This window comes from Homo sapiens, chromosome 10 (assembly GCF_000001405.40).
Source record: "Homo sapiens chromosome 10, GRCh38.p14 Primary Assembly".
Classification (NCBI taxonomy): Eukaryota; Metazoa; Chordata; class Mammalia; order Primates; family Hominidae; genus Homo; species Homo sapiens.
The window spans coordinates 50,184,650-50,201,327 of NC_000010.11; the positions used below are offsets into that span (position 1 = coordinate 50,184,650).

At 35.3% G+C, this 16,678-nt stretch overlaps 1 protein-coding gene across 2 annotated transcripts in view; it reads right to left on the minus strand.

Moving 5' to 3' along the window:
* Positions 1-211: 211 nt before the first annotated feature.
* ASAH2 (N-acylsphingosine amidohydrolase 2) overlaps positions 212-16,678 on the minus strand; it is a 66,656-nt gene continuing 50,189 nt past the window's right edge. For both annotated transcript variants that reach the window (NM_001143974.3, NM_019893.4), the window contains 5 exons: positions 14,402-14,497; positions 12,124-12,270; positions 8,004-8,063; positions 4,850-4,938; positions 212-2,855 (listed from right to left, as the gene is read on the minus strand). In NM_001143974.3, the coding sequence (NP_001137446.1) occupies positions 2,666-2,855; positions 4,850-4,938; positions 8,004-8,063; positions 12,124-12,270; positions 14,402-14,497 (582 nt within the window). In that variant the 3' untranslated portion in view covers positions 212-2,665. The remainder of the gene's footprint in view (positions 2,856-4,849; positions 4,939-8,003; positions 8,064-12,123; positions 12,271-14,401; positions 14,498-16,678) is intronic.

Here is a 16,678-nt window from a genome sequence, read left to right on the forward strand (position 1 = left end):
ATTGTCAACCATACATGTGTTTTACCAGCAGTACATCTTCAGAAGTTAGAAAGGAACTGATAAAGAAGTGGTTCCCTTGTGCTTCAGTGGTTATTTACAAGTCATTTGTATCACTTTCCAACCTAACTTACATGTAATCTACCACCTTTTGTTCCACCTCTTTTTTTAAAAAAGTGTTCGTTTGTCTACATTACCTTTCATTAGACAATACTTTTATGAGTGTAATTCTTAATTTATTATTAAATAATCCATTGAATATTGACAATTTTACACAGTACTCATCAAAAAATCTAGACCTGGAAAAGAGATTATTCAGTGCTTTTCAAAGAAGTCAAAAAATCCTTAAAACCAGAGTAGGCAGGGTACAGCAAATAAAATGCAGACATTTTAACATGAGAAACAAAATCTCCAAAATTGTTCTCCTACCTACCCAATCTGCCATATTCCACTTTTTCCACCAATTTCAGGAGTTTCTGCCACATGGTTTGGCTCCAGTGAGCCAGTCCCTGCAGCATCCACAGACATGAATTGGATCTGTGTTTTTATATCAACAGATAAGTTCAATTACTTCATGATATTCTTTTATGCACAGGTAAAGAACTGATATTGATAATCCAGGAATTTGGTTTTATTTTTACACATGAACTGCGAACATAGAACTGCATGCCCTAGAAGAAATGACAGCTGGTGAGAAAATAGGTTTCTGTGCGTTATCTGGAGCCAAGAGTGCTAGGTGCAGTAGGATCAGTAGATGATACAGTGGCCACCTTGGTACAGTTGCCAGTGAGCTATCAGGAATCACAAGTAGATTTGAGGAAAGCTTCAATAGAAGGAATAGAGGTAGTGGAAACTGATTCATGAACCCTTCTGAGTAATAACAAATACTTTAAAAAACCATATCATAAGTTCTAATATAATTTTCTTGTCTGGAATCAGCTACTTTCAGGATCACTTGTTCTTTTAGGCTTCTGAACTTTTACACTGAAGACTGTGGCATCATCAGAAAAAAGATCACAACACTTGGAATCCCTGATTACCTAATCCTCCAGCAGTTAATGCCCAAGGAAACAGCCTCTAGGATACCAATTCATCAAAAAGTGTTCCAGGTTCATTCTAATTCAATAAATTATGTTGAGATTAAGTTATACATAATAGATGTTAATACTACCATTATGAATATTGTTATTATTTTCAAACCTCAAAGTTTATTTTTAAAATACAGATTGATTTTTTTCCCTAAAATGCTAAAGCTTTTACATACATACAAAAGTATGACCTGGGGTTTGGAAATTTGCTTTGCAGTCTGGGAGGTTGTAGTTAACTTAAAGAATTTTAAATGCAATTAGTACTTTCAGACAATCGATGTCAGACTGTCATATCTTATTCTTTGGGGTATGAAGCAAGGTATTTTACAATGCCCAAAAATAACTTTCAAAATAGTATTTAGCAAACTGTCTGGAGCCTCTTTCCCCCCAAATTAGAGTATCCAACACAGATGATACACAAGATATAACTTGAAGATTACTGATTTTTTAAATGCTTCCCCAGAATTTACATATTAAATCGATTATTTTCTCCTTCATAATAGTTACCTTTTGACACTTACACATTCACCCCAAGTACAAATTCACTAATTATCAAGGCCTAGGCACTATTATAATTCTGGGCATATAAATCTTAAATATTCTATGATTGAATGGGTCCATGAGTGAGTGAGTGAGCAAATGGTAAAAGAACAGATAAATTAATTTAGAACCTCTGCTTTGAGGAGTGCTTTCCCAGCCAGTAATATTTTTAATATCTACACTAATGGCAAAACTTTCTGGTTTGGGGTGAATTTGATTAATGAAAAGAGTCAAAAAATCATTTGGAATAAGTCTTGGGAGTAAGAGACACAATCCAGTGGGATAAGGACACTTAGGAAAACACAAGGCATGATCAAAATATTGGAAGTCTGACTTTCTCATAATTGTGTCCTGAAGGCAATTCCAGAAATGATTTGAGCATCCACAGCGGCTCTGAACTAGGCATGTTAACTCCAGAATGACTGCTTAGAAAGACTATGTTATTTTGAATGAAGGAAAACTGACATGCTGATTTTCTGTTTCTCTAATTAGGCTCATACATTCATGGTCAAGGTTTATATCATATTTTGTAAATGTGATTAGAAGAAAAGACCATTTTTCTTATATGTAAGATGAAGGGTAAGACTAGATGATTTCTATAAATTTTCCCAGTACTAATATTCAGTAATTCTATATATAAATAAATAATTTAAACATTGTTCACATTAGTGAGCCATTCTCACTAATATTTCAGAGGTTTTATATTGAAGGGACTCTCCTTTAAACAACCCCAAGACTTCAAGGGAAATCATGCTTTAGGCTGTAGACCACAAGATATATGGCTGCTGGAGCAAGATATATGGGACAAACCTCTCTCTCTCTCTCTCTCTCTCTCTCTCTCTCTCACACACACACACACACACACACACACACACACACACACACACACCCCTCCACCCCATTAGCAGTAAACTATCTGTCCCCAAACAGGGACGATTATAGAAGTCAACATGGTAGTTCACTAGTTCACATTCATTTGAAATCACTTATATAATGTGTAGAGAGTAAAGCTGTTCTTTAAATGATCTATCAACTTTTCACTAAATAGTTACAACTTCAAAAGCCGGGGAAGTGCCTTCAAATGAAAGTATGACAGCAGGCTTCAGAATGTCCTGCTTCCGATTGTGTCCAAAATATCTTATTCTGTAGATTCCAGGCTGGGCAGTGTCTGGAATATGCCATTCCACTGTTGCATTACTCAGACCCAGGAGTCCCTTGTGCCAATAAAAACTGTTGATAAAAAACAAACAAGCAAGCAAAACTCAATTTTACTCTTAAAAATGTTTAATTAGAAAAATACATGATTATTCATTTAATGAATATTCAGAGAATACCTACAATGAGCAAGGCACTATCAAGACATTGAAGATACAGCAATGAACAAAACAGACAAAAACGTCTATTTTCTAGAAGAGAAACTTTAAAGAACAGCAATTTGTAGAAACAGCTTTACTTGTTCTACCTTTCTACCTACCTAAATTATACTCACCCCAGGAAACCTTACCTGATAGCCACAAGATGTCTCTCCTGCTGTAGAATTGCAAAGCACTCTTTTAGCCCTTATCTGACACTTATTTTCACATCTAGATTCATTTGTTTTCTATATATATATGTGTGTGTGTATATATATATATATATGTATATATATATATAGAAAATGAATACATGTCAGACTCTCTTCTAGAAGTACTGAGGGTACAGTAAGGAGCAAGATAGATATGGTCCCAAGTTTCATGAAGCTTATGTTCTACTGAGTTGAAGATGGAAATAAATGCAATAAACAAAAAGCAATAAATATAAAAATCTTAAGAATGACAAGTTTAGTGTAGAAAACAAGATGGAAGTTTTTTAGGGAGATGTCATTTAAACTGAGTCTGCAGAAATCTGGAGGAAAAAACATTCTAACAAGAAGGAACAGAAAATACAAAGTGTCCAAAGCAGGAACAAACTTGATGTGGCCACAAAGCAGAAAGCAGGTCAGTTGGTACAGGGAATGGTAAACCATGGAAGAGTGCTTGAGATGAGAGAAACAGGTGGAACCAGATCATGTTGGCCCCTGCAGATCACAGCAGAGAGTTCAGACACTCTTCTAGACTCAGTGAGATACAACGGGCTAACTGATATCCTCAGTTATGCTGAAAGTAAATCTCTTGGGCACAGAGAGTGTGCTCGACATTCTGTGTTTCTCAGTGATGGGTTCAGTACTCTCAACAAATATTTGATTATTCTGCTGCTAATGAACAAGGCAGAGATCTAAACATATCCTCAGTATTGACTGCTATTAGCTAAAAACTTTGAGCATTTAAATATAAATCATTCTTTTTATTACCTGTATAACCTTTTCAACGATAAATATACATTACTTGTTTTAAAATGTACCTATACTCTACAGCTCTAAATACCAAAGAAAAATTTTGCCCATATTTGTATATGGGCCATGGTCAAATTCCTATTTTCAATTAACCATCTGAACCATACTAACATATTTACATTTAACAAACTAATATCACTTAGTTTGAGGCAATCTGAATTAGACCCAAATTGCCAAAAACTGTACCTACTTCCATGCCACTGTCATGGAATGTTAAATTTATAGACTTGGGAACAGAAGTATTGTCTTATTTCAGACACATTATCAAATCTTCAAAATATCTATTCAACTCAGGAATTTGGTAGCAAAAGGCAAAGAGATATGTCTCTCCGGAGAAATTGCCTGAATATATTATCTCCTCACTCAAGTCATTAAGAGTTAAACACCCAAGCTTCTAGTGTTTTAGTAACTCAAATGAAGAATCATTGATCATATACAAACATGCAATACATGTCAGGTATAGACTCATTTTCCCTATAGAAATATCAAGCTCTACAGAGACATCTCAACACTTTTACTCTATACTCCTTTCAACCAATTTGCAAGGAAGCTAGTTAGATTTTACAAATAATACCTGTGTCCATGGGGAAAAAAAACAGAACAGATGTCTGTAAGAATGGAAGCCATAACCTCATTAGCACCTAATCTTACAGAAGCACACACCACACTGTTTTGCAGAAAAATGAATCAAAATGAAATCTAATAAATCAACTAAATATGTCCAGAAACCTCCTTGGGAATTTGATATCATTAATACCTTGTACTGAGCCAGTCTTTTCATTTGTCTTCCCAGCATTACAAGCCAACTGGTTTCGAAGCTTGAAAGACAAAAATATTCAATAAATGTGCTCACCGAGTCTCCCAGGAGGCATCATTACACACTATCTGCCACGATGTTGAAGTAGCCTCATATTTCTCCACAGTGAGGAAGGTCTGATGGGTCTGAAATGCAATTAATAAACCTGATCAGGTACTGCACAGTCACAGAAGGAACCTGTTTGTAAATACTCCCCTTGTTGACCATATGTTAGCCTACCAATACCTTGTGTGAAAATGTGTTAGAATTTCATCCAAATTCTTAGGCTTTCCTCTTAACATTCTATGCAATGTACTCAGAATGTTAATTTATCCAGTCTATTAAAAAACATGATTTTTTTAGAAATGTGAAAGAAGTGTAATTTTAGAGTTAGTAGCAAATTTTGGAAATTAGGGCAGAAAAGAGGCTGGGAATAAAACTTACCTGAGATTTTAAAAAGGTATAAGTCAAGCCTTTTCATGATATGTTTATTGATCTATATATCCCAAGACTTTCTCTAGTCACCTCAAAAGTTAGAAGGGAAAATGGTAAAGTTTAGTCTACTTTCCATCTCCAGGTGAATGAATTATTAGTTAACGTACCTCCCTGAGTGAAAGAATTGAAAAGAATACATAAATCTTCCCTATCCTGGGGTACTAAAGGAGGTCTTTAGATTTTTTATAATAGATTTCTAGAAACCACATCATAAAAAGATTTTATTTCCCCATTGGAAGATTATTATAATAGAAGAATTTGTTTCAGACCAAGAATTCAGCTTCAAACAAAGCACAGATTTGAATGATATGACAAGTTAATAAAGACAAAGGCTATACATTTCTAGTATCCTTTTAAATCCTTGAGATTGTGACCCTAAAAGGTACATGTCTAATTCACTTATATTTATCACAGTTCTTTACATCTGTCATTTACTGGTGCTCAAATAACCCCTTGCTAAATGTATCACCTATTTACATGTGGGCCATGTAATTGTTTAAAATTCTCCTTTAAGTATTCAACTGATGAATTACATTCAATAAGGAAGTTTTCATAACCATAGGAACTTGTAAAGAGAGTTATTTCTGTCTATTTATGGCAAATGACATTGGGAAGGCCTTAGATGGAGAAGATATGGTGGGCTTTTTGAATATGTCTAGAGTAGAGACTGAAGAACAAGTCTAGGCCTCTGAATACCAGGGATAAAACATATGACAATCTTTTCCCAACTGCTCTACCGTAATCTCTTCCAGATGCATAATTAGGTACTGCATACATTAATTATGCATAATATAAGTTACTTTATCTCTCTAGGCCTCAGTTTATTCATCTGGAAAGTAAGGGTAATAAAACTTAACTCATTGGGTAGTCGTAAGGATGGAATTAATCATGTGATAATGCATATAAAGCACTTTAATAGGAATACTTGCAAATACTACCTGCAAAATAGTAAGCATTCCATAAATAGTGATGATAACTACTAATGAAGAAGGGTGATAGAAATTGTTTTATACCAAGTCCCAGAGCATTCTTTGAAATTAATTCTATTACCACTATAGTAGTTTAAAGGTTTTGTTCTCCTGCTTCTCCATGGCAATAATGATGATAGAATTTCTCTACCCTAGGGATATCAGGTGACAGCTAAACATGCAGTTTTGATATAACACTTTGATATCTTCAGAAAATAATGTTATGAACACGTAACTATTGTGGCACAGATTCACTTACTAAAGAAATTACTTCAAACAGGTGCATATTGACTACCTAAGAAGTAGAAGACTTTCCTCCAATGTCATATTTGAGAATGTCATATTGCCACAATTGTTATCTTGGCAATAATGACATTTTAAAAACAGGAATGGGAAGGTTCTTTTGGAAGGAAGGTATTTTTGGATTATAAGTGACTATAGGCCCTGGGAAGAACAGCTAATTGATATAAGGAATGCATCCTCAGCCACAGTGAAAACCATGACCTCGAAATCACAGTCATATGCCCACTCTTTTTCCACTATAAATTCCTTTATTATTTGAGGTTTTACAACTAGAATGTGTCCAGTTACTGCTTGTGTAGTTATAAGTATATTTTAAGGAAGTTATACAAGTATACATTAATTTTATTAATAGATATATTACATATGTATATAGTTTATCATACATATGATAAAAACAAAAAAGTCTAAAATGCTTTATTAAAAAACTCTTAACAGCTATTACCTCTGGAAAGCAGGTTTGTGGGTAGAAGAGCACTTATATATTCTATTTTCTACACTTCTATATTGTTTTAACATTGGGCATGTATTTTGAATGTCATTTTTTAGGTTTAATAAATAAATGCTCTATTAGCACCAGTAGTAAATAATAGGGAAATGGCCAATGCAAGATAAAGTAAAGCACATGCACCAGGACTCCAAGCCAGGAGAGTATACACCTGGGGATCTGTGACCGTTCCACAACAGTACAGGTAGGACCAGAGATAGTAGTGTAGAGGAGGAGGAGAGAGCCAAAAAGAGAAGAAGAAGCCAAAGACACACATCCTTCAGTTGGCCCTTTGACTATTTCACAACATTTGGTAGAGTTCTATATATTTGAATACAGTCATATATCGGATACATCCTGAGAAGTGCATTGTTAGGCAAATTCATCATTGTATGAGCATCACAGACTTAGACTTACACAAACTTAGATGGTGTAACCTCCTACCTAGGCTATATGGTATAGCCCGTGGCTCCTAGGCTACAAATTTGTACAGCCCGTTACTGTATTGAATGTTGTAGGCAATTGTAACACAATGGTAAGTATTTGTGTATCTAAACATACCTAAACGTAGAAAAGGTACAGTAAAAGTAGAGTATTATAATCTCACGGGACCAATGTCATAAATGCAGTTCATCTTTGACTGAAACATCATTGTATGTGGTGCATAATTATATATATGGGATTGTATTCAACTTAACATCTTCTTGACAGACAATGCAGTCATACATGCATTATGCTATACTTGGTCCTAAGTGGAGCCAATTATATGTTTCCTGTGTGCTTTTACCCAGACTCAATCCACATTAACTACCTATTGAATATTTTCCCGTACCTACAAAATAAGATGGAAAACAAGTTGGAACATTTTGTCTTTATGTTATTAACCTCTAGAGGGATATTTAAATGAATGAATGGCTAAAAAGTGGATTTACATTTGTAAAAGAAAATCATTGATACCTACCTGGTTTTGTACTGAATTCTTCGGGTTAGCACCTACAAATATAACTTCAGCAACTTCCCCCTGAAAGTAAAAATTCATTTAATGATTTCTAATAAACGGTTTTTTTGCTATACTCATATTTTGGACATTATTTATTATAAATTCTATAATTTAGGGTGCCTTTATAGATTTTGTTCTATTTAATCAAGTAAGTTATCTTCTAAGAATATTAACCCTTGCAACAATAGACATAGGAATGTTTGGCCAATGAGTTTGCTTTTGGTAGACTCAGATACAAGTGAAGATCTAGAGCTGTAGTTTATATTAGTGACAGCATATTAAAATGGCTTCTTCAGGCCTTGATAATTCCTCACACCTCCCTCCCAACACAAATACAGGGAATATTTGAATCAAATTAGAACAGTCAAAACTTTCCACAGATGACTCATATTTATGCTTACATTTATACTTAAGCTTTTATTTTTATAAGAGATGGAGTGGCAGGATGTGTATTTATCCTCCCCCCTGAAACGACTAAAAAACTGGAAAAAATATATATTAAACAATGGATTTTCAAGTGACAAAGAAAGACAGTGATATTTGAGTGGCAGCAGACAAACAAGAACCCTGTAATCCACCAGCTCAATGTCATCAGAGTTTACGGGCCACGGCAGAAGGAGGAGAATTCAGGCCAAGTCTGGCAGTCTAAGTTGAGGATATGGAGCTGGGTGTCCACAAAAGCCAAACAGTCTTGAGTTTATAGCACAGAGCATCATAGAGAGGATAGCTGCACAGAGACAGAAATCTGGAGATTTGCAGAAAGCTCCCCTCAAGTTTGCATGCATATAAGGGAACTACTGGAAGCCAAGAAAAGAATGGGCTAACAGAATTACAGAGAACAGTCCCCAGGCTCATAGAGAGTTGTGACAAGATTCTGTTCCCACCAGGCCAGACTGGAAAACCTCATAATTCAAAAGAATTTTACATTAGTGTGTGAGGGGATGAGGGGTGCTGGGGGAAGTGAGGAAGGGATTTGCTCAAGATGAAAATCTGCTCTGGTCCTGCCTAAAAAATTTAGTAATAGGTAATGCAATAGGTAAAAGCAATAAAACTAAATGCTAGTTCTTTGAGGACACAAATTACCAAAATTAGAAAGAAAGAGGGGATATCATTGTCAACTCTTCAGAAATTAAAAGGATTACAGGGGATTATCATGAGCAACAACAACTTTTATATTACACCAACAAATTAAACAACTTATATGAAATGAGAAAATTCCTAGAATGATACCAATTCCTATAAAGATAAATTCCTAGAAAGACACAAAATTGATGCAAGGAAAAAAATAGGACATATGAATGGTCATATAACAAGTAAAGAAATTGAATTAGTAATAAAAATTTTGCCATAAAGAAAAGCCAGGTCCATATGGCCTTGCTGGTCAATCCAATCAAATATTTAAAGAGTAAATAATGCCAATCTTTTGGATACTTTTTCAGAAAGTACAAGAGAAAACATTTCCCAACTCATTCTTTGAAAGCACTATTGCCCCAATACCAAAGGCAAAGACAACACATAAAAAGAAAACTAAAAATATCCCTCATGGACATGAGTAGAAAACTCTACAATATATCAGCAAATCAAATTCAGCAACATCTAAAAAGGATTATACACCATGACTAAATGATACGGCATTTATTTAACATCTGAAAACCAATGAATGTAAATACCTTATTAAAATAACAAAAGACAAAACCACATTGTCACCTCAGTAGAAAAAAAATTGCAAAACTCCAACACTGATTTCTGACAAAAACTTGCAATAAGCTAGGCATAAAACATGAAAAAGAGAATCTACAAAAAATCCTAAAGAAAACATCATACTAAATGGTGAAAAACTGAATACTTTTCTACTACGATTGGAAACAAGACAAGAGTGTCCAGTCTCACAACTTCTATTTGACATTGGATTGGATCTTCAGCAAAAAAAACAAAGATGAAGGTACCACACAACCTGACTTCAAAATATACTACAAAGCTATAGTAATCAACACAGCATGGTACTGGCCTAAAGTAATCAACACACCATTGGTACACATAGACCAATGGAGCCCAGAAATAAGCCCGCACATTTATGATAAATTGATTTTTGACAAAGGTGCCAAGAACGCACAATGGGGAAGTGACAGTCTCTTCAATAAATGCTGCTGGGAAAACTGGATATCCACATGCAGAAGAAGGAAATATAAAAATTAACTCAAAATTGATTAAAGATTTAAATATAAAACCTGAAACTATAAAACAACTGAAAGAAAACCTAGAGGAAAAGCTCCATGATGTTGGTGTAGGCGATGTTTTTTTTTTTTTAATATGACCCCTAATGCAAAAGCAACAAAAGCAAAAACAGACACATATTACATCAAACTAAACAGTTTCTGCACAACCAAAAAAACAATTAACAAAGTGAGGAGACAACCTAAAGAATGGGAGAAAACACTTGCAAACTATGCATCCAATAAAGAGTTAATATCCAAAAGATATAAGGTACTCAAACAACTCTATAGCAAGAAAACAAATGACCCAACTTGAAAATAAGAAAAGGACCTGAATAAACATTTCTCTAAAGAAGACATACAAATGCTCAACAGGGTATTTTTTTAAATGTTCAATATCAGTGATCATCGAAGAAATGCAAATTAAAACTACAACAAGATATCACCTAATACCTGTTAGAATGTATAATATTTAAAAAGACAAAAGACAAGTGTTGATAAGAATGTAGAAAAAGGTAACTCTTGCACACTGTTCATGACAATGTGAATTAGTGCAGCCATTATGAAAAGCAGCAAGAGGTTTCTCAAAAAATTAAAAATAGAACTACTGTAAAATATATACACAATACCATTTCTGGGTATATAGAGAAAGGAAATGAAATCAGTTTGTTGAAGAGATATGTGAACTCCCATGTTTATTGCAGCACTGTTCACAATAGCCAAGATATGAAACAACCTAAGTGTTCATCAATGGATGAATGGATAAAGAAAATGTAGTACATATACACAATGGAATACTATTCAGTCATAAATAAGAATGAGATCCTTACATTTGATACAACATGGATAAACCTGGAGAACATTAGATTCAGTAAAATAAGCCAGGTACAGAAAGATAAATACCACATGATCTCACTTATATATAGAACCTTCAAGAGTTAAACTCATAGAAGTAGAGAGTAGAATGTTGGCAGAAGGTTAGTTACCAGGGGCTAGGAGGTTAGGGGGTTGGGGAGGTATTGATCAAAGAATATAAAATTTCATTTAGACAGAGGGAATAAGTTCAAGAGGGCTACTGTACAACTTGATGGCTTCAGTTAAAAACAACATATTGTGTTTTAAAAATTGTTAAGAAAGTCTCAAATTTTCTCACAACAAAAAATAATATGTGACATAATGTATATGTTAATTAGCTCAATTGAGCCATTCCCCATGTATACATATTTCAAAACATCATCTTGTACACAGTAAATATATATAATTTTTATTTATCAAGTAGAAAATTAAATAAAATTTTTTAAAAAGCAGAACATTCTATTGAAGGTTCTAGCCAGTCCGATAAGGATAAATAATTAGGTGCATTTAGAAAAGAAATATAGAAAGGAATAAATAAGCTTATTTTTATTCACAGATGACATGATACTATATGTAGAAATTCCTAAGGAATCCAGACTCCCCTCTTACTCATCCCTCCTCCCCCCAGAAAAACTGTTGAAACTAATAACTGATTCAGCAAGCTTTCAGGACACAAGATTGATATAAAATAGTAATGGTACAAATTCTGCTTCATTTCTGTATGTTTTTCCTATCCTTGACTTAAGAGACAACTCTCAGTGCCAGTGAATAGTTCCATGATCATTCACTTAAGAAAAGGAATAATTTGGATTTTAGAATTTCAATTTGACACAATTACTTACAAAAAATAAATATTTCCCCATTCTCATTACTTTTGCAGAGATAAGAACAATTGTCAAAATTATCATTGCTAACAGTTGGTCTACAGCATGATTAGAGGCAAATGGTGACACAAAGTGACATCCCCCAAAACATCCCTCTAAAGGATTCCAAGGTCTGCTCATGAGTCTTACCACTCTGTATTCAGGTTTTGCTGGCTGCAGGACATCCCCGAAAGTTCTGCCTTTTGGTGCTCTATCCACAATACTAGGAATTAATGGAACTATTAATTGTTTGAAAAAGGGAGGTTCTGGACCTCTGCTCAGGTTGGCTACCGTGTCCTGGAACAGAGAGCATTTGTTAAGGAGTGCACAGGTAGAGTCAAAGACCCTTTCCCCAGGCCTCCAGACCCAGAAATGCCTGCATTAATGGAAGAGTGCACACACACATATACATACTCCAAGAGCTAACAACCTTGAGCAAAATAGGAAGGTAGCCTTGCTAAGCATGAGCCTAGAAATTCATAATTTAAACTCTTGTCACTGGGAGAAAGTTTTGGTCATAGGCAACTCTTTCATTCCCCTAGACAACATAAGGACAGTGACCAGAGTACAAGGTTGGAAGCATACTTTCAAATTGTCTGACTTTGTACAGGGGCCTAACATGCAAAAAGGTAATTATACCATGACAGTGTAATTATTATTTTAATTTTTAAAAAGTATTGAGCCACTCTCACCTGGAGTGAGTACCAAGTTTTTTCCTAGATTCTTGTCTGTGCTAATAAAAGAATATAATAAATATATTTTTAATTTAAAATTTAAGATCATCCCACATCCTGACTGGTTTAATCTATATTGCCCACAAAGTTTACCATTTTTAATAGTGTCATAAAAATACAAATCTCAATTTTCAAATATCCCTATATCTATATTAGGTTGGTACAAAAGTAATTGGCATTTTGCCATTACTTTCAATGAATATTTAACGCTCTTTATTCCTCACATTATAGATTTAATCTTTACAACTGCATATGAGATAGGTTATGTATTACCATTCCCATTTTGCAAATGAGAAAATAGGCTTAGACATATTCAGTGGTTTTTTTCAAGATCACATAGCTAGTTTTAAGGTGCTTGACCAGAAATTTGACTGTAAAACAAATTTCCACCAAATTAATTGCATTTTTCTTCATTGTCACTACAAAATTTGAAGAATCTATTTTCTTGGGAAGAACTATAGACCTATGAGCATAGTGACAGTTAAACAGTAGTTATCTCTAGGGATGGATTATAGTTTTATGCTTTTCTGTATAATCTGAATGACCTACAAATAGATTTGGATTTTATAATAGAAATAAATAAATAAATACAAACAGTTATTCAAAAAAAGTAACCTAAAACTGAGACCAAAATTATAATAAAATGAAAATAAATATCAATTGATTAAAATATGTGCAAAGAAATTATATAAAATACTGAAATTTCAAACACACAATCAGTAACTAATAATACAGGCATATGAAATTTTCAACGTTCAATTGATGCAACCTACAGAGACAACCATTTCATTCATTTCAACTTAATATATCCAAGCTCTTTCATTAAAAGGGCTTTATTTTCTTTGCTATGCCACAATTGTTTCACATTTTTTACTGAGGCTTACATATTATTATATAAGGGGCTGCTTATTATTTTAAGCTCTTTATCTTGTTTGTTGACTAACCTTCTGACATCACAGTTGCAGCTTCATAAACAACTGCATCCAAAGGGAAGATTTCCACAAGTGAAGTTCCTTTAAATCAAGTAAACTTGTTCAGCGGTATATATTTTAGGTAGATGCAATGTTTTCATTCCAAGGCACCACTATTTTTACATCAAATCTAAGCTTCCATTGATTTAACAACTCATATTATCTTTTGAACCACCAAGAAAGTAAAAGCATGCTACTAATTATAATAATAAGCTTCCTCTGATTGGAAAATGCATCCCAATTTCCAAGATATTATAATGTGGAAAATGGGCATCCTAGAATGCTGACCTACTCAACTTTTGGAGTGAGTGGGGAGAATCTGGCAAGGATTAGAGAACACAGGTTCAACTCCCAGGTGTAGTAAGCTTCATCACTTATCTTCAAGCCTATGTGCTCCTCTGAAAACTGGGGAGAAATGATATCTCCTTAATTTCACATGATGGTTGTAAAAATAGTGAGAAAATATATATGAAAGAAGCTGCCACCATGAAAGGATGTTAACTAGATCCAAAATTTGGAAATAAATTTTATTTATTTTCTTAGAGATACCACAAAACTATAAATTTTGTAAAATATAAAGGTTGTCAAACTGAACACTCGAAGCTAAGGTTCTCTTTCACTTCCCTCTGCATTTTCTTACCCAGACACAGACACATACAGACATACACACACACACACACACACACGCACGCGCGCATGCACGCACAAACAATATTTGATTACCGTAGCAATAGCCTTAGCAAGGTTTCTGAAGAGCTGAATGTAAGCAGATAATGTGTGCGGTCCATAAATTGTCGATGCTGCCTCATATCGCTGAGCCTGCAGGAAAGGCAGGGAGAGTTGTATATGGTTCTGCTTATTTAAATCCATTTACAGAGGTGTAGCATTTTGGGTAAGTGTGATGCTTGACATCTCACATTATTCAAAACTGGCACAATCTTCAAGATTATGTATGACAAAAGAGGATGGGCATTTCCATTTACTGGCCAAGGTAAGTGACTCCTATGGACTACCTGTTAAAAGCAGTGGGTTCTCTCGGCTTATGCCATTTAGACTGTCACTCTATTTACTATGAAAGACGGTGCTAGCTCCTAAGCTTTAGTCTATTATAAGTACTTGTAATATAAGTGCTTTCCCCCAGGGCATATATCAGAAGAAAAATAAAACAAAATAAAGAGTCCTAGTAACTTCTGGATAAATAGTTAGAAGGTGCTAACTGGAGAAAGACATTTAATCCATCACAAAGCCATGAAATTGAGCCAAATGCATCTTTTAGCTGACCTCCAGGCCTTTGGTTCTTCTACAGGAATTTCAAAGTTATCAAATCTAAAACCAACCTCACCACTTCAGACATACCAGCTTCCTCCACAACATTCTCATCTCAGCGAATGTCATCTTTCCAGTCTCCCATGTGAGGATCAGCCGGCAGTTACCTTAGACTCCTCTCTCCCTCATCCTGTATCCTATCAGTCTCCACATCCGGTAATTCTGTCTCCTTCAAATCTCCTGAGATCTTTCATTTTCCTGTCTTACTTTCTCCTAAGGTACAAATAGATTTCACCTTAGTTCAAACCCTCATTTCTCACCCAGATCTCTTTTTTTATATTTGTATTAGGTTCAGAGGTACACGTGCAGGTTTGTTATATAGGTAAATCACATGTCATGAGGGTTGGTTATACAGATTATTTCATCATCCAGGTAATAAGCACAGTACCTGATAAGTAGTTTTTTGATCCTCTCCCTCCTCCCAGCCTTCACCCTCAAGTGTGCATGTTCATGTCTTGCCCAGATCTTAATTACACTATGGCTTCTTAATCAGTCCTCTGCCTATACACAAGCCCTTCCAATTCATTTTCTACACTGCCATCTATTGACCTTTCTAAATCACAAAATTTTATCAAAGCATTCTCTTGCTTAGAATCCTACTGCAGTTCCCCCAAAGCCTTCCTTACTGAGTGAAGGCTCAGTAGCATAGCATGCAAGACTATCCATCAGCTAACCTGTGTCTCCCACTCTGGCTACCATCTCCTTACCATCACCCTCCGCATACTTACTCCATGCTACTCAACGAATTGTGGTCCATCAATGTGCCTGCCCTCTGGACCTTTGCATATATCGTTTCTTCTATATAGGATACATTCTTACTCTTTATTTGCTTAACTCTCACTTGTTGTCAAGAACTCATACAGATGTTACATCTTCCTGAACAGTCCCAGTCCTCAAATACCCAGTCTGGGCTGGTGCTCTTTCTCTTTATTTTTATAACACCTTGTGCATGCCTTTCATGGAAATGTAATCATCTGTTCTTTTTTCTGTCTTCCTACTAGACCCCCAGCTTCCAGTGATCTTGAGGGAAGGGACAGATTCTTTTCATCATTATGCCCCAGAAAGTGGCTAGCACAGTATCTGTCACAATACATATCTGTTGAATGAATGAAGTAATTAATAGTAATACTTGCTGGAGTATATCCCTGTGATATGGACAGGAGACAGGAAAATATTGGGTAGAAGAGAGTGGTTCCCTGGCAAAGGCCCCACCCTTAAGCCTGGAAACCTGTGGCCCTAAACAAGAACAAGCATTTCTGCTTTTGCAACCAAACATTCCTGTTTTGCCTTTTTGTTCACTACGCCCCCCTATCCTGTACCCATATAAACCCCAAACCCCCAGCTCCACAAGCAGACAAGGAGATGAACAGAAAAGCAGAATGGCAGAATGGCACAGCAGAGAAAAGAGAAGGAGCATCTGAACTCTGAGAGGAGTTCGGCTGTGGATGGTTGGAGAAGAGATTGGCCACTGGACAGCCAAACTCCAGGGGAAGATCATCTTCCCACACCATCCCCTTTCCAGCTCCCCATTCATCCCACGGAGAGCTACCTCTACCACTCAATAAAACCCTGAATTCATCCTTCATGTCTATTTGCAACCTGATTCTTCCTAGACACTGGACAAGGACCTGGGTACCAAGAGGGCACTGAGCTGTTTAACACTTAAGCTATCTG